Here is a 16,072-nt window from a genome sequence, read left to right as displayed (position 1 = left end):
GAGTCACCAGGAGCTTTCGAGCAGGAGAATGATATGACTCAGAGCCCTTCTGGCTTTCTGTCTCTCCTTCCTCCCCAAAATGGACTTCCCAGAACAGAGCTGGTTCCAGTTGGAAATGAAAATGCTGGCCAGGCGCGGTGGCTCACGCCTGTAATCCCAGCACTTTGGGAGGCCGAGGTGGGTGGATCATCTGAAGTCAGGAGTTCAAGACCAGCCTGGCCAACATGGTGAAACCCTGTCTCTACTAAAAATACAAAAAAATTAGCTGGGCATGATGGTGGGCGCCTGTAATCCCAGCTACTCGGGAGGCTGATTCAGGAGAATTGCCTGGACCTGGGAGGTAGAGGTTTCAGTGGGCTGAGATCGTGTCATTGCACTCCAGCCTGGGCAACAAGAGTGAAACTCCATCTCAAAAAAACAAGACAGAAAGAAAGGAAGAAAGAAAAAAGAAAATGAAAATGCTTTTCACCCACCCATCAGCAGCCAGCAGCTCAGTCTGACTGAGGAAGGGCATTTGTGCGACTGGAGCTGGTAGGATGGCATAACGGGGGCAGGGAAGACTCTGGGATATGTATTGAAATCCAGGTGTTGGCTGGGCACAGTGGGACACACCTGCAATCCCAGTGTTTTGGAAGGCCGAGCCGGGAAGATCATTTGAGGCCAGGAGTTTGAGGCCAGTCTCGGCAACATGGTGATACCCTGTCCCTACAAAAACTAAAAAAATTATCCAGGCATGGCGACACTCACTTGCAGTCCCCGCTACTTGGGAGGCTGAGGGGGGAGAATCGCTTGATTGAGTTCGAGGCTGCAGTGAGTTCGAGGAGTTCAAGGCTGCAGAGAGCTACAATCGTGCCACTTCAGTCCAGCATGCACAGCAGAGTGGACCCTGTCTCTAAAACAAAAACAAAAATAAACCCAGGTGTTTTAAGGTAGTGGTACATTGATCCTCAAAGCAAGAAATGTTTACTTCTGTGTCCGGAATTGGTGGGTTCTTTGTCTCACTGACTTCAAGAATGAAGCCACGGACCCTCCCGGTGAGTGTTACAGTTCTGAAAGGTGGCGTGTCGGGAACTGGTTCCTTCTGAGGTTCAGATGCGTTCGGAGTTTCTTCCTTCTGGTGGGTTCGTGGTCTCGCTGGCTCAGGAGTGAAGCTGCAGACCTTCGCGGTGAGTGTTACAGCTCATAAAGGCAGTGTGGACCCAAAGAGTGGGCAGTAGCAAGATTTATTGCAAAGAGCGAAAGAACAAAGCTTCCACGGCGTGGGAGGGGACCCGAGGGGGGTTGTCACTGCTGGCTCAGGCAGCCTGCTTTTATTCTCTTGTCTCGCCCCACCCACATCCTGCTGATTGGTCCATTTTACAGAGAGTCAAGTGGTCTGTTTTGACAGGGTGCTGATTGGTGCGTTTACGATCCCTGAGCTAGACACAAAGGTTCTCCACATCCCCACTAGATTAGCTAGATACAGAGTGTGGACACAAAGGTTCTCCAAGTCCCCACCAGAGTAGCCAGATACAGAGTGTGGATTGGTGCATTCACAAACACTGAGCTAGACACAGGGTGCTGATTGGTGTGTTTACAAACCTTGAGCTAGATACAGAGTGCCCATCGGTGTATTTACAATCCCTTAGCTAGACATAAAGGTTCTCCAAGTCCCCACCAGACTCAGGAGCCCAGCTGGCTTCACCCAGTGGATCCAGCACTGGGGCAGCAGGTGGAGCTGCCTGCCAGTCCCGCGCTGTGCACCCGCACTCCTCAGCCCTTGGGTGGTCGATGGGACTGGGCGCTGTGGAGCAGGGGGCGGCGCTCCTTGGGGAGGCTCCGGCCGCACAGGAGCCCACGGGGGGTGGGGGGAGGGTCAGGCATGGAGGGCTGCAGGTCCCGAGCCCTGCCCCGCGGGGAGGCAGCTAAGGCCCAGCGAGAAATCGAGCACAGCAGCTGCTGGCCCAGGTGCTAAGGCCCTCACTGCCTGGGGCCGGCCAGCTGCTCTGAGTGGGGCCCCGCCGAGCCCACGCCCACCCGGAACTCACTCTGGCCCGCAAGCGCTGCGCGCAGCCCCGGTTCCTGCCCGCCCCTCTCCCTCCGCACCTCCCCGCAAGCTGAGGGAGCTGGCTCCGGCCTTGGCCAGCCCAGAAAGGGGCTCCTACAGTGCAGCGGCGGGTTGAAGGGCTCCTCAAGTGCTGCCAAAGTGGGAGCCCAGGCAGAGGCGGCAGGGAGAGCAAGCGAGGGCTGTGAGGGCTGCCAGCACACTGTCACCTCTCACTTCCATCTGAAAACCTCTTGGTGCTTTTCACCTTTTGCAGCCCGAGTGGGTGGGTCTCTTCTTTTCTCTGTGACAATAGCCCGACGGATGCCCTGGTCCAGATGCCCTCCCCTGGCCTGTCCTGCTGTGTCTTGGTGGGTGCTCTTGGAAGCTCCCCAGAAACTGGTCTCCCCAAGCCAGGAAGGGAGGGAGGACCCGGCACTGGGGCTGGGAGCTGGCATCCAGCGTCCTGAGGGTCAGGGCTGGAATTGGTGAGGGTCAGGTCTGGGTGACACTCATGGCCCTGATGGATTCTGTTGTCTTGTGCAGGGGCCAGGACTGGGCAGCAGAGAGGAGGAGACCCCTCCCGCCCTAGTCTGAGGCCTTAGTCAGGGGCTAAGGTCTGCTCTAGGCTGGATCCCCTGGCGCCCCAGGACTTCTCCCATCCCAGGTCTCTGCCATTGGCATGCACCCTTCTGGCCAGGGTGGACAATGTCGGTGGGGGCCTGAGTATGGCTTTGGCACCTGAAGGCTCTGGGTTCAAGTTCAGCAGCTGCCATTCCCATATTCTGTGTTTCACTCACTCACTCAGCAAACACCCCCTAGCTCCAGGTCCCACCCGATCCTGGTGTGGGTGACAGAGTGGGGTTAGGCTAATCCCCATTTTGAGAGAGCTCCTCTGAGGGGGAGACAGACACAGACACGGTGCTAGCCTCGGGTGGACTGTGCTCTAATGGACGCAGACTCGGGGCCGCACAGCCCAGAGAAGGCAGGGAAGGCTTCCTGGGGGAGTGAGTCCTCCAGGAAGCTAGAGGAATGTGCTAGAACCTACCACGAAGAAAGCAGGAAAGGCACTTCAGGGAGAGGGAAGAACTTGTACAATGCCCCAGAGGTGGGAGGCGGCCTTGTGACATTTCAAAAGAGCATAACTCCAGTCACAGAGCGGCCGACACTTTAAGGGCTGGTGGAGATTAAAGTCTCAGCAGGGGGAGAGGCGGGCTGCCGTGCTGGGACTCTGCCACCACTTGAAGAGTGGTTTGCCCCAGCCAAGAAGGTTCAGGCCTGGCCTCAGAGGTCCTCCTGGGCCTTCCTGTTCTTCTGCTTCTGGTGCCACTGTTGTATCTTGCTGGGGAGCGTCTCTGACCAGAACTGCATCCAGGCCTCCCTGAACTTCTGTCCGGCCCGTGGCACTGGGTTGATCTCCAGATATTGTTCCGCCTGGTTGAATTGGGGCCAAGGAGGCAGAGCCTTGCTATTGGGGTCCCTGGGTGGGAGGAATGAATGAGGACCAAGGCTTCCTGTGCTGTCCCCCAGAGGGGCCGACCTGAGCATCCCAGGCCCAAAGCGAGCTATGCCCTGTCACTCACTCACCCTGTCCGGGCAAAGTGGGTCCACTGGGCCATCATGGTGAGGCTTAGCTGCTTCTCCTCCTCTGTGGCCTCTGGAAAGGCTGGAAAGGTGAGAGGGACAGAACTGAACGAGAGTCAGGTGGGACCTGGAAGGGACCCAAGGATCCTCAGTGCTGACTGGAGACCCGTGTTCCTGCAAGCCCTGCCCAGGCCCCTTGGAGTCTGGCAGCCTAGGGATCACATGTCTGTCTGTCTGTCCTCACCCAGGCGGGAGCTCTCGTCCATGAGGAAGGGACCTCCGAACACAAAAGCACCCTCGGCCCCATGATCAGCCTTCACCCAGGCAGGTTTGATCTTCGCAAAAGAACTGGGTCGATGCTGGAACTCATAGAAAAAGACAGGGCTTCCAGAATCTACAGAGAAAGGATGGGATGGGAGTTAGGCACTCATGGCCTGATTCGATGCTGCCTTTGGCAGCACATGCTCATAATAACACCAATTTCCATGATGATGATGATGATGATGATAAAATGACTAGCTGCAAACATTTACTGAGCGCTTGCTAGGTGACAGGCACCATTCTGTGTGCTTTGTGTCATCATTTTAATTTAATTTAATATTTTTATTTTAATCTCTGAAATGGTCTTGCTGTCGACCAGGCTGGAGTGCAGTGGCATGATCACAGCTCACTGCAGCCTGAGACTCCCGCGCTCAAGTGATCTTCCCACTTCAGCTTCCCAAGTATCTGGGACTACAGGTGTGTACCACCATGCCCGGCTAATTTTCAAAAAATTTGTGTAGAGATTGGGGTCAATATGTTGCCCAGGCTGGTCTTGAACTCCTGGGCTCAAGCGATCCTCCCGCTTCTCCCAAAGTACTGGGATCACAAGATTGAGCCACCCACCGCGCCTGGCCAGTGTCATCATTTATTGAATCCCCATCACAATAGATTCTGTATTAATAGAATTAATAGATTAGATTCTATTATTATTTCCATTTTACAAAGGAGGAAACTGAGGCTCAGAGGGGGTAGGTATCTTGCCCAAGGTCACAAAGTTCTGGGTCTGGAACTGTTCTGGGTCTGCATCAGGGATTAGCTACTAGGCTTGAAGGAAGCAAGACTTTCCCCCCAGAAGTGCTGAAAGAGGATGAAATCACCCATTTGAGTGAATCCCTGAGAATTAGTGATAGGCCCTGCTGGGTGACCTTTGGTGAGTCATTGTACCTCTCTGAGTCTGAGGTTTTCTCCTCTGCATAGTTTCCTGCTGGAGATACCTCTCATTACTATGACACTGCATCCCAGAGAAAGATAGGTTTGGTGGGGGGCAGTGGGGTGTGGGGTGCAAGGCATTGAGGGAACCAGCACCCTATCATGCCATGTCACCTGTGATGACCCAGCTCCTGGGCCCAAGTGGGAGGGGTTGGGCAGGTGGCCAGGGACAGGCTTACCTCGAAGGTATCTTGAAAAACTGACGGTGGGAACATTGATGAATACGTCACCCATGAATTCCTGGAACGCCTGGCATTTGGCTTGTGCGTCCGAGTTGCTTCCTAGGTATTCATCTATGACGGTGGGCATCATCTCAGGGGGCACATCCTGGGGCAAGAGGCCAGGCTCAGCCCTGCTCAGGGTGCACAGATGTGGCAGACCATCCCAGGAAGCCCCAAACTCTCCAGCATAGCTTCCCTCAAATCCCAGGGCTGATGGTCCAGGGGACAGCCAGCTGCCTCTCTGCCTCCCTGGGAGTTTGGCATAAGCTCAGGTTTGGAGTCAGATCTTAGCTCTGCAACCACTGCTTGGCTGTGTGATCGCAGACAGGTGGCTAAACCTCTCTGAAAGTCAGTCTCTGCCTGGCAGCCTATGTGAAGTCCCCAGCAAAGGGTCTGGCCTGGAAGCAGGTGCTCGGTTGAAGTTAACTGGGAAGTAAGTGAGAGCAGAAATGATAGGGGCTCCCCTCAGCTCCAGAGGGCAGTGATGAGATTGCGTGAATGGGAAGGGTTCTGGGGCTTCCAAAGAAGGGAAATGGACAAAGATTGAACAGCCCCTGGTATTGAGATCCCAGGTAGACTCTTCAAATGCAACGTCTAGTCTCCTTACAACAGCCCAGGCGAGTGGGCAGTGTCATCCCCATGTGTAGATGAAGAGATGGGCTTAGAGGGGATAGGATAACTGGGCAAGTGCCCAGGGCTGGGATTTGGCCCCAGGTCTATCTAGCTCCACATCTGACAGCTGAGGCTCTAGGGTCAGACAAAACTGGCTTAAACTCTGCCTCTGCCCCTTCCCCAGCATGACACCTCAAGCCTCAGTTTCCTCATGTGTAAAATGGGGCTAGCGAGAATTCCTCTGTAAAGAGTTGCAGCGCCGGGCGCGGTGGCTCCACGCTCGCAATCCCAGCACTTTGGGAGGCCGAGGCGGGTGAATCACCTGAGGTCAGGAGTTTGAGACCAGCCTGGCCAACATGGTGAAACCCTGTCTCTACTAAAACACAAAAATTAGCCGGGCATGGTGGCAGGGGCCTGTAATCCCAGCTACTCGGGAGGCTGAGGCAGGAGAATCGCTTGAATGAGGGAGGTGGATGTTGCGGTGAGCCGAGATCGGGCCACTGCACTCCAGCCTTGGCGACAGAGCAAGACTCTGTCTCAAAAAAAAAAAAAAAAACAAAGAAAAGAAAAGAAAAGAAAACAGAGTTGCAGTGAGGATTGAAGGAGATGAAACCCTCTCCCGGCGCTCAGTGCACCATAGTCCCTGGCACGTAATATGTGCTCATTAACGGGCAGTTTCATGTTGACGATGATGGTGATGATGGTTTTCCTTTGAGAACCACACTGGCTCATATCTAAGGAGATTCCGGAGTGGAAGTAAAATTGATCAGTTAGACAAAGGGGCTTGGTGGTAGGTGGGTAGCTGTGGGTGTCGGAAGGTAGGGGCAGAGACTGTGCTGTTGGATGGGATACCCACTAGCTTCCTCCCTCCTGCCCTAGCTTCCTCCCTCCTGCCTCTTGTCTCACCAGACTGGTCAAGACGGGTGTTGAGATGGCCAGCATGTCCTCCCGGCTCATCTGCTCCATTGTATCCAGGAGACCCCAGCCCTGTGTGGACACCAAGGCCCTCTCAGTGGAGCCTGACCACCGGCTCACCCCGACTCCCAGCCCTGGGCAAGAGAGTGTTCACGGTCCTGAGGCCAGAAACTCATCATGGAGCACTTGGCCAAAATGGGGCCGAAAAGTCCACAGATCCAAAAAGATAAACCGCAAATTGGTGGGAGGTGGTTGGTGTGGATGGGGAGAGCAGCCCCAAATACAACAGGCAAGTGGTTAAAGGCAACTGTAGAGAATGAAAAATTTCTTCAACATTTTTTTTTTGAGACAGAGACTCACTCCGTTGCCCAGGCTGGAGTGCAGTGGCGCAATCTCGGCTCACCGCAACCTCCGCCTCCTGGGTTCAAGCTATTCTCCTGCCTCAGCCTCCCGAGTAGCTGGGACCGCAGACGTGCACCACCGTGCCTGGCTAATTTTTGTATTTTTAGTAGAGGTGGGGTTATGCCATGTTGGCCAGGCTGGTCTCACACTCCTGGCCTTGAGTGATCCGCCTGCCTTGGCCTCCCAAAGTGCTGGGATTAAAGGCATGAGCCGCCGGGCCCAGCCTGAGTCACCCAACTTCTAAGAAACATTCTCAGCAACAAGTCCTGGGCACAGCCTTCCACGCCAGGCAGATCTACCCAGGTCCTGGGGCACAGCCAGGTTGGGGTTCCCTTGGTTTCACTCATACAACTGTAAGTTGATGGTGTGGGGTAAAGGCTGCCTGCCAGAGTTGAGGGCATTGACCTGAAAACTTTTACAAGCTTTGTATTTTGTGAGACAGTGTCTCACTCTGTCACCCAGGCTGGAGTATAGTGGGACAGTCTCGGCTCACTGCAGCCTCTGCCTCCTGGGTTCAAGTGATTCTCGTGCCTCAGCCTCCTGAGTAGCTGGAATTACAGGCATGCACCACCACGCCCAGCTAATTTTTGTATTTTTAGTACAGATGGGGTTTCACCATGTTGGCTAGGCTGGTCTCGAACTCCTGACTTCAAGTGACCCACTCACCTCAGCCTCCCAAAGTGCTGGGATTATAGGCATGAGCCACCGCACCCGGCTTAAGCTTTGTCTTTGAATGTCAAGATTGCATGAGCCTCTCTCTCACATACCAAGGGACCAATATGAGGGGATTGATTCCAAAGGGCTAAGTCAGAGGACAAAAGCCATGGACATGAAGACATTCACTGCGCTATTAGCCTCAGTGGTAAAAACTAGAAGTTGCCAGGACCGGGTGCAGCCTCATGCCTGTAATCCCAGCATTTTGGGAGGCCAAGGCTGGTGGATCACCTGAGTTCAGGAGTTCCAGATCAGCCTGTCCAACATGGAGAAACCCCATCTCTACTAAAAAAAATACAAAAATTAGCCAGGCATGGTGGCAGATGCCTGTAATCCCAGCTACTCAGGAGGCTGAGGCAGGAGAATCGCTTGAACCTGGGAGGCAGAGGTTGCAGTGCGGTGAGCTAAGATCGCGCCATTGCACTCCACCCTGGGCAACAAGAGCAAAACTCCATCTCAAAAACAAAACAAACAAACAAACAAAAAAACTAGAAGATGCCCAAATGCCAAGATGAAAGAACAATGTAACGAGACGCTCCATTTGTGGAAGATTTGCAGCCATTAAAAGTGGTTGTTGGCTGGGTGCTGTGGCTCATGTCTGTAATCCCAGCACTGTGGGAGGTCGAGGCAAGAGGATTGCTTGAGGCCAGGTGCTCTAGACCAGCTTGGGCAACAGAGGGAGACCTGACTATACACGGAAGAAAAAAAAAGTTAGCAGAGTATGGTGGCACAGACCTGAGGCCCGAGCTACTCAGGAAGCTGGGAGGATTGCTCGGGCCTGAGAGGTTGAGGCAGTAGAGAGTCATGATGGCGCTGCTGCACTGCAGCCTGGATGATGGATCGAGGCTCTGTCTCAAAAAACAAACAAACACACAAACAACAACAACAACAAAAATGGATTGCTTTGTCTTAGGGTGTGCAATGGGCCAAGACGAAAAAAAAAAAAAAAGAAAAGTGAAGAAAATGATTGCTGTGAAGATGGGTAGAAGAATAAGAATGACAGAAACAAGATGCTCGGGATGAAAGCACAGTGCTGACACTCTTGTGGGAAGTTCTATGCACCTGGAAAGGAATGGAAGGGACTTGGCTCATGAAGTCCCCGGTGGCTTGATATCTAAAACCTGAGAGTTTTAGTCAATTGCTCTGGCACAGAGTCACACTAACCAGTCTCATAGAGCCTGATGTATAAACCAGACGCCAAGGCAGGAATATGCTGCCCAGATCAGCAGTGCCCAGAAGGCCAGTTTGTGCAAAAACCTTGTTCCCCAAAAGAAAACATTTGCTTTATTGAAGTGGCCCACGCCTGTAATCCCAACACTTCGGAAGGCCAAAGCAGATGGATTACTTGAGGTCAGGAGCTTGAGACCAGCCTGGCCAACGTGGTGAAAGCTGGGTGTGGTGGCATGTGCCTGTAATCCCAGCTGCTTGGGAGGCTGAGGCAGGAGAAACTCTTGAACCCAGGAGGTGGAGGTTGAAGTGAGCTGAGATCGCACCACTGCACTCCAGCCTGGGTGACAGAGCGAGACTCTGTCTCAAAAACAAACAAACAAACAAACAAAAACAGAAAAAAAAAAGCAAAACAACAACACAACAAAACAAAGCTGGGTGACCTTGGGCAAGTCCCTCAAACCTTTCTGGGCCTCTGCTTTCTCACTTATCAAATGGGAGTAACGGGAGTGCTCCGTTCACAAGGCTGTAGTGTTGATGCTGGGGTGGCAGGTACTGGCTGGGGCAGGGCCTTGAAGGGCACAGGGGTGGGAGCAACTCACCCTGGGGATGAGCCAGCTGAACTCATGGTTGTTGACACCCATGAGGAAGGGCACAGAGTGGAAGGGCTTCTCCTTCAGGAGTTCCTTGGGGCTTTTGGGGAAGACAGTGCCATCAACGGTGAGAGGATAGATAGTATTTTTCTGCAGGAGAAAGCAATGCAGGAGGCTCCCAAGTTAGGGCCAAGCCTCAAAGGCTAGGACCCCAGCAGCCACTGAGCTGCAGGCCTGAGTGTCTGAGCCTGGAGGGAAAGTGAAGGGATGAAGATCACCAGGGTTAAGGGGGTCGGGGGAACCAGGAGATCAGGGCAACAGATGCGTCCAGTTTCTTTCCTAGAAGACAGGCCTGCTGTGGGGATGGAGATGGCCCTCCATTTCTGTCTCCAAGCCCTCAGCCCCTTCCCCTCATGAGCTGCTGTCCCCAGCCCCACCTGGGGGTAGACTGCCCCTCTGCTCCTGCAGGGGATGGATAGAACCCCCTCTGTGCCATTGCCCGGCACCATCCCCAAAAGGGTGGCCATACCAGCTTCTTGCTAAGGACCAGCTCTTCTCCTTCTTTCTGCTGAAGGCACTGCACCATCTCAGCCGGGGAGCTGGAGCTGCAGGCCAAGGTGTTTGCGATTTTCTGGGGACAAATGAAAGAGTCATGCCTCCCTCTCAGCCACTCAGCCCCACCTTGCAGCCTTCTGCCTCCCACAGAGAGGGTGCATCTGTAGGACAGCTGGATGTGATGTCACAGATCGGCCTCGAGACTGGTCACAGACTTGTCACCACTCCTGAGAAGCCTGCCCTGCCCGTCAGCTTGGGTGGTCCCAAGGGCCCCCTTGCGTCCCCTATTATACCATAATTTTATTATCTGGGGGAATGGGGGCACTGAGTCCTCATTGCCCTCTAAGAATAGTGTCATTATCTTTTATTATTATTTTTTTGAGACAGACTCTCGCTCTGTCGCCCAGGCTGGAGTGCAGTGGCATGATCTTGGCTCACCGCAAGCTCTGCGTCCCGGGTTCACACCATTCTTCTGCCTCAGCCTCCTGAGTAGCTGGGACTACAGGCACCTGCCACCATGCCCGGCTAATTTTTTGTATTTTTAGTAGAGATGGGGTTTCACCATGTTAGCCAGGATCACCTTGATCTCCTGACTTTGTGATCCGCCAACCTCAGCCTTGAGCTGTGTTTTTCTTTGGACACAGGAGAGACAGGGAATGACCTCAAGTCTGTGGTTGAGAAAATCTCTCCTGGCCATGGGGAGAGGATGGGATGGGGAGGTTGAGAGGAGGATGCTGTTGTCCATACAAGAGTCAACATGCCCACGCAGAGGTTCCAGAATCATCTTGTACACAGTGGTTAAAATGCCCAGCCCACACTGCCTTGGCCACCATCTGGGGCCAGGTGAGGGAATTGACCCAGTCTTCCAAATCCTGCTCACATTTGCCCCCTCTCTCCCCGATGGCTCTATCCCTATTCCATCCTGTCTCTTTCTCCTGGACTCTGCCCTGGTCATTTCACTGGTGTCTTGATCTTCAGGACGGCTCCCTCCAACCCACCTTCTACTCCAGGTAGCTCAACCTTGTCATTGCCCAACTTCTTCCTGCCCTCTGGAGAAAGTCCAGATTCCCAGGCATGGCCCCCACTTCTCCAGCACCTTCACTTCCTGCCCTGTTCCCTAACCTGCGAGCTTGCTCCTGCAGGACCTGTCACTCTCTCCCACACCTGCAGCCTTTGCAGATGCAGTTCCCACTGTGGCTTCCCCTGGATTTTCTTCACAAGGCCTTACAATGAGGATCTAGGGTGGGGATCTGGAGCCTGAATGGAGAGCTCGCAGGCAGCAGGTGGCTGGCAATGGAGACCCCCTCCACCATGCTGCCTGGGGCAGAGAGGGGTGCTCCTGAAGACCCCACCCTGGAGAAAGGGCCAACAATGATATGCTTCAGGGTGGCTTCCTTCAGGAAGCCCTCCCTGAGTGCCAATATGCTGGAATGCAGCAGTTGTTTCCTCTGATGCTCCTTCGTCTTATTGGGCTTCTCTTTGCTAACAGGGAGCTCCCTGCCAGCAAACCCCGCTACTCTGAGACCCCAGGGCCAGCACAGAGTGGGGTATGGGAGGCACACATAGAGTAAGAGAGGGAAGGAAATACAGACCTGAGCTAGGGGCCAAGGGTGAGAGTCGATGATCCCTGGGGTGGTGATGACCCCACTCTGTGTGATGGCTCTGTGGAACAGCCCTGCAGCCACTGGGGACAGGACCTGGGTGCATTGGAGAGAGGAGGTGGCTGTCAGAGGAGGGCAGAGGAGCTGGGAGTTCTGAGACCACCGGAGCCCTCCTGGCCACCATCACTAGCCCCCTATAGTGACTTACCAGGCCAGAGATGATGCTCCCACCGGCAGATCCACCAAAGACAGTGACACAGTTGAGGTCACCCCCGAAGGGGGCGATGTTTTCTTGCACCCAGCGCAAAGCAGCTACCACATCTAGGAAGCCCTGGTTGCCAGGTGCATGCTCATCTCCAGTGCTGGGGGCAGTGTTGGGGCAACGGTTAGTTCAGCCTGGCTCCTCGCCAGCCTCTGCAGGTTTGCTTTGAATTAGCCACCAGGATGCCAGACCCTTCTCTGCTCCCCAGGTCTGGCCTGTCTGGGAGCCGTGGTTGGCATCTCCACAGCCTGTTGCTCTTTGTCCCATATCCTGCTGGAACCTGGGCTTCAGCCCAGGAATCAATGCCCTCTGCCCAAGGGACCAAGTTCACTGTATAATTCTGGCTTTGGCTGGACCCCTCTCCCAGGGTGGAGGCTTGGGGGGTGCCCTTCTCTGCCTCAGACATCATGGGTAAGGGGCCCTCCCTTCAGGTTCCGGACCCCAACCTAGATCCCCAGTTGCTCTGGTGAGCTGGCCTCTCCCCGGTGCAGGCAGTGCTCTGGCCATGCCTGTCGTCTCACCTGAAGAAGCCAAGGACCCCAAGGCGGTACTGGACTGTAACCACGACCACATCCCCATAGGCAGCCAGAGCTGATCCATCGTAGGAGGTGGCAGCGCCAGTTATCAGAGCGCCTCCATGGACCCATACCATGACCTGCAGAGGTGGCCATGGGGCACTGACCCCCAAGCTCCTGAGACCTTAGCTGCCCACCTGCCAGCCCAGGCAGTCTCAGGACCGCTAGGGTGCTTTGGAAACAGGGACGGGGAGGGGACAGGTAGGCATAGTGGAGCTGGATCAGGTGGACAGGGCCCTCTGGGGTGCCTACCGGCCTACCGGACCCTGCGGGGACCTCAGCTGGGCTATAGACGTTGAGGACCAGGCAGTCCTCTGAAACGGAGAAGATCTGCTGTTTTCCGTTGAGGACAAATCTGCTGCTGTTCATGCTCTCCACGTCTTGTAGGCACCTGTGGCCAAGGGTGGGCCTGAGGTCCAGCTGTTCAGCCCCACAAGCCCCAGCAGCAGGATTCTCCTGCAACCTGCCTGTTTGCCCGCCTCCACCAGCACTACTCACATTGGGGGCGCAGTGCTGGCATCCCGCACACCCTCCCAGGGCTGTGCTGGGTGTGGGGCTGAGAACCGGTCAGGGCCCAGTGGCGGCTGGGCAAATGGAATGCCCAGAAAGACATTCACAAGGCGGTCTGTGCCCTTCACGCCCACCTGCCGGCCTCGCACACGACCCAGGGTGGTGTCTACTTCAGGCTGAGCAACTTCGGGCCCTGAGGGAAGGACAGAAAGGCCACGGGGTGAGTTTGCAGCCCCCATGAGGGGAAGGAGTGAAAGACAAACCCTCAGGCTGTTCTCAGTACTTACCACACAGCATCTTGGTAACCTTCCCAGCAAGCCGGTGAGCCTGGTCTTAGGTTGACGCCCAACTTCCTCCTCCCTGCCTGCCTGAGAGTCACTACCACTCCACTCCAGGCCAGACCGGGCCTGCCACTAGGGCCTTGTGCCTTGGGGCCAGCCACTTGCCCATTTCTTTGTTTTTATTTTTTGTGTTTGAGACAGGGTCTAGCTCTGTTGACCAAGCTGGAGTGCAGTGGCACGATCTTGGCTCACTGCAACCTCTGACTCCCGAGTTCAAGCGACTCCAGGGCCTCAGCCTCCCAAGTAGCTGGGATTACAGGTGTGCACCACAACGCCTGGCTAATTTTTGTATTTTTAGTAGAGACGGGGTTTCATCATGTTGGCCAGGCTGGTCTCGAACTCCTGACCTCAAGTAATCCATCCACCTGGGGCTCCCAAAGTGCTGGCATTACAGGCATGAGCCATCATGCCCAGCCCTGAATTATTTTTTAAAAAGTAGAGATGGGGTCTCATTATGTTGCCCAGGCTGGTCTCAAACCCCTGGGCTCAAGCAATCCTTTCACCTCAGCCTCCCCAAGTGCTGGGACGACAGGTGTGAGCCATCATGCCCAGCTGGCACCATGTTTCTTGTACGGCCTGCAGAACTGTGGCCTAACTAAACTTCTTTTCTTTGTGAATTACCCAGCTTCCTGTATTCTTTTACAACAACACAAACAGACTAAGACTGGAGGACTGCCTCTCCCAGGCTAGACAATTCCTAGAGATAGGAGGCAGCTCTCTGGGGAGGTGGAATTGGCAGGCATCTCTCTAGGGAGCAAAGGCAAACCAGTCCAGAGCCATACCCAACCACCTCCTTTATACAGCTCTCAGCTCCTGGCTGCCATCCACCAGCCATAATCACCACAGAGCCGGGTACCAGGAAGCTGGCTGGGGACAGCCCCTTTCCCCAGAGCCTGCTGCCAATCGTAAACCTCTTTAGCCTGCCTTGCCTATTCCTTCCCGTGGCAACCGTGTCAAAGGGGCTTGCCCACATTTTCCCCCTGCTCCCTCTGCCTCCTGGCTGATGCCACCTGGTGCTTCCCTCTGTGGCCCTATGTGGCATGGCCTGCTTCCTGTTCACAGGGAACTACGAGCAAACTCCTTCCCTCATGATAGTCATTTGCATATCTGCTTGTCTTACTATACTTCATTAAAACAAATCTCAGGCCCCCTTAAGACATAAAGACAGGCCAGGTGCGGTGGCTCACGCCTGTAATCCCAGCACTTTGGGAGGCCGAGGCAGGTGGGTCACCTGAGGTCAGGAGTTTGAGACCAGCCTGGCCCACATGGTGAAACCCCATCTCTCCTAAAAATACAAAAATTAGCCGGCCATGGTGGCAGGTGCCTGTAATCCCAGCTACTCAGGAGGCTGAGGCAGGAGAATCGCTTGAATCCAGGAGGCGGAGGTTGCAGTGAGCCGAGATCGCGCCATTGCACTCCAGCCTGGGTAACAAGAGCAAAACTCTGTCTCAAACAACAACAACAAAAACAACGAAACAAATACAGCAAGAGCAGAGCGCCTGCCCAGAGAGAATGCACAACCCCTGGTCTGCCTCCAAACAGGACTGTTTCCTGAGCGGTCGGCCCACTGCTCCCTGTCCCTGTCTCACTCTTGACTCCTCCACACCAAGTACCTCTGCAGGCCCAGCAGGTGTGTCTTACCAGTGGCTGTGGCAGGGCATGCCAGGAGCAGACAGACCACCCCGACCAGGACCCCGGACTCCACTCTCACTGCTCTCTCCATTCTCCTTACAACTGGTTCGACAGAAGCTTCAGAAGGTGGAATAAGATCCCTGCCCTTCAGCACCACCGATCTCTAAAGGGCTGTGATATAGAACCTCCAAGGACAGCGCCACCTAGCTGGTGGCCAGCCCCATGCTCAGGCTGAGCCAGAGGCAGGGCTAGATGAGTGCCCTGCAGAGGCCTGGTTGATATGACAGCCCTCCCCGTCCCACTGTTTTCAAATTCCAGCTCTCCTGACTTGGTGATCTCCATGAAATCCTGTGCGTTCATCCCAAGGTGACCACATCACTGACCCTAGGAAGTGGTGGCCAGTGACCCTGGGGTGCCACTCCGAGTGGGCAACCCAGCCTGAGGTGAGGGCTTGATATGGTTTGGATGTTTTGTCCCCTCCAAATCTCATGTTAAAATGTGAAAGAAAATAAAACAGTGATGATAATAGGACCCACCTCATAGCATTGAAGTGAGGGTACATGTTTGCATGTGTGTGTGAGTGTGTGTGTGAAAACATGAGGCTTGGGACTGGGTGTGGTGGCTCATACCTGTAATCCCAGTGCTTTAGGAGGATGGGGCAGGAAGATCGCTTGAGCCCAGGAGTTTGAGACCAGCCTGGGCAACACAGGGAGACACGTCTCTAGAAAAAATAAAAAAAATTAGCCAGGTGTGATGGTGCATGCCTGTGGTCCCAGCTACTTGGGAGGCTGAGGTGAGAGGATCACTTGAGCCCAGGTTGTCGAGACTGCAGTGAGCTGTGATAATGCCACTGCACTCTAGGCTAGGCTATAGAGCAAGACAAAGAAAGAGAGAAAGAGAGAGAGAGAAGAAAGAAAGGAGAGAGAGAAAGAAGGAGAGAGAGAAAGGAGAGAGAGAAAGAAAAAGAGACAGAAAAAGAGAAAGAAACAAAAAGAGAAAAAAGAAAAATAGAGAGAGAAAGAAAGAGAGAGAGGGAGGGAGGGAGGGAGGGGAGGGGAGAGGAGGGGAGGGGCTTGGAACCAGAACTCATGGAAGCCTGAGGAGAGGAGAGTCT

The 16,072-nt window shown here is 54.4% G+C and overlaps 1 protein-coding gene across 3 annotated transcripts, besides 7 other annotated features; it reads right to left on the bottom strand.

The window, feature by feature from the left end:
• Positions 1,177 to 1,471: an enhancer, noted in NCBI's record as "tiled region #4953; HepG2 Activating DNase unmatched - State 8:EnhW, and K562 Activating DNase matched - State 8:EnhW". NCBI's record gives its function as "activates a minimal TATA promoter and a strong SV40 promoter by Sharpr-MPRA in HepG2 and K562 cells {active_cell/tissue: HepG2 | K562}" and the evidence as "EXISTENCE:reporter gene assay evidence [ECO:0000049][PMID:27701403]".
• CES3 (carboxylesterase 3) lies at positions 1,208 to 15,091 on the bottom strand. 3 transcript variants are annotated; one of them, NM_024922.6, is made up of 13 exons: positions 14,968 to 15,091; positions 12,974 to 13,178; positions 12,728 to 12,866; positions 12,422 to 12,555; positions 11,847 to 12,000; positions 11,630 to 11,734; positions 10,012 to 10,113; positions 9,492 to 9,632; positions 6,598 to 6,678; positions 5,038 to 5,185; positions 3,852 to 4,001; positions 3,611 to 3,689; positions 1,208 to 3,503 (listed from the first exon to the last, which is right to left on the bottom strand). In NM_024922.6, the coding sequence occupies exons 1-13, from the start codon at positions 15,047 to 15,049 to the stop codon at positions 3,308 to 3,310; spliced, it is 1,716 nt and encodes a 571-aa protein (NP_079198.2). In that variant the 5' UTR covers positions 15,050 to 15,091; the 3' UTR covers positions 1,208 to 3,307. The 3 variants fall into 3 exon arrangements, with proteins under 3 accessions (NP_079198.2, NP_001172106.1, NP_001172105.1); NM_001185177.2 differs by having other exon boundaries at positions 3,611 to 3,680; NM_001185176.2 differs by lacking the exons at positions 9,492 to 9,632; positions 10,012 to 10,113; positions 11,630 to 11,734; ... (3 more) ...; positions 12,974 to 13,178; positions 14,968 to 15,091 and adding an exon at positions 8,458 to 8,882.
• Positions 4,141 to 5,340: an enhancer, noted in NCBI's record as "BRD4-independent group 4 enhancer chr16:67004920-67006119 (GRCh37/hg19 assembly coordinates)". NCBI's record gives its function as "activates an origin of replication core promoter dependent on BRD2, P300/CBP, MED14 and CDK7 cofactors, and independent of BRD4, by STARR-seq in HCT116 cells {active_cell/tissue: HCT116}" and the evidence as "EXISTENCE:reporter gene assay evidence [ECO:0000049][PMID:35650434]".
• Positions 11,702 to 12,619: an enhancer, noted in NCBI's record as "H3K4me1 hESC enhancer chr16:66997641-66998558 (GRCh37/hg19 assembly coordinates)". NCBI's record gives its function as "activates a minimal SCP1, AML or CMV promoter by ChIP-STARR-seq in primed H9 embryonic stem cells {active_cell/tissue: H9 hESC(primed)}" and the evidence as "EXISTENCE:reporter gene assay evidence [ECO:0000049][PMID:30033119]".
• Positions 14,894 to 15,395: an enhancer, noted in NCBI's record as "H3K4me1 hESC enhancer chr16:66994865-66995366 (GRCh37/hg19 assembly coordinates)". NCBI's record gives its function as "activates a minimal SCP1, AML or CMV promoter by ChIP-STARR-seq in naive H9 embryonic stem cells {active_cell/tissue: H9 hESC(naive)}" and the evidence as "EXISTENCE:reporter gene assay evidence [ECO:0000049][PMID:30033119]".
• Positions 14,894 to 15,449: a biological region, named in NCBI's record as "H3K4me1 hESC enhancer GRCh37_chr16:66994865-66995366".
• Positions 14,900 to 15,109: an enhancer, noted in NCBI's record as "active region_10950". NCBI's record gives its function as "activates an Ori minimal core promoter by ATAC-STARR-seq in GM12878 lymphoblastoid cells {active_cell/tissue: GM12878}" and the evidence as "EXISTENCE:reporter gene assay evidence [ECO:0000049][PMID:35858748]".
• Positions 15,200 to 15,449: an enhancer, noted in NCBI's record as "active region_10949". NCBI's record gives its function as "activates an Ori minimal core promoter by ATAC-STARR-seq in GM12878 lymphoblastoid cells {active_cell/tissue: GM12878}" and the evidence as "EXISTENCE:reporter gene assay evidence [ECO:0000049][PMID:35858748]".

This window comes from Homo sapiens, chromosome 16 (genome assembly GCF_000001405.40).
Source record: "Homo sapiens chromosome 16, GRCh38.p14 Primary Assembly".
Lineage (NCBI taxonomy): Eukaryota > Metazoa > Chordata > Mammalia > Primates > Hominidae > Homo > Homo sapiens.
Note: the sequence above shows the minus strand (reverse complement) of the source record. Positions and strands in the feature narration are given on the sequence as shown.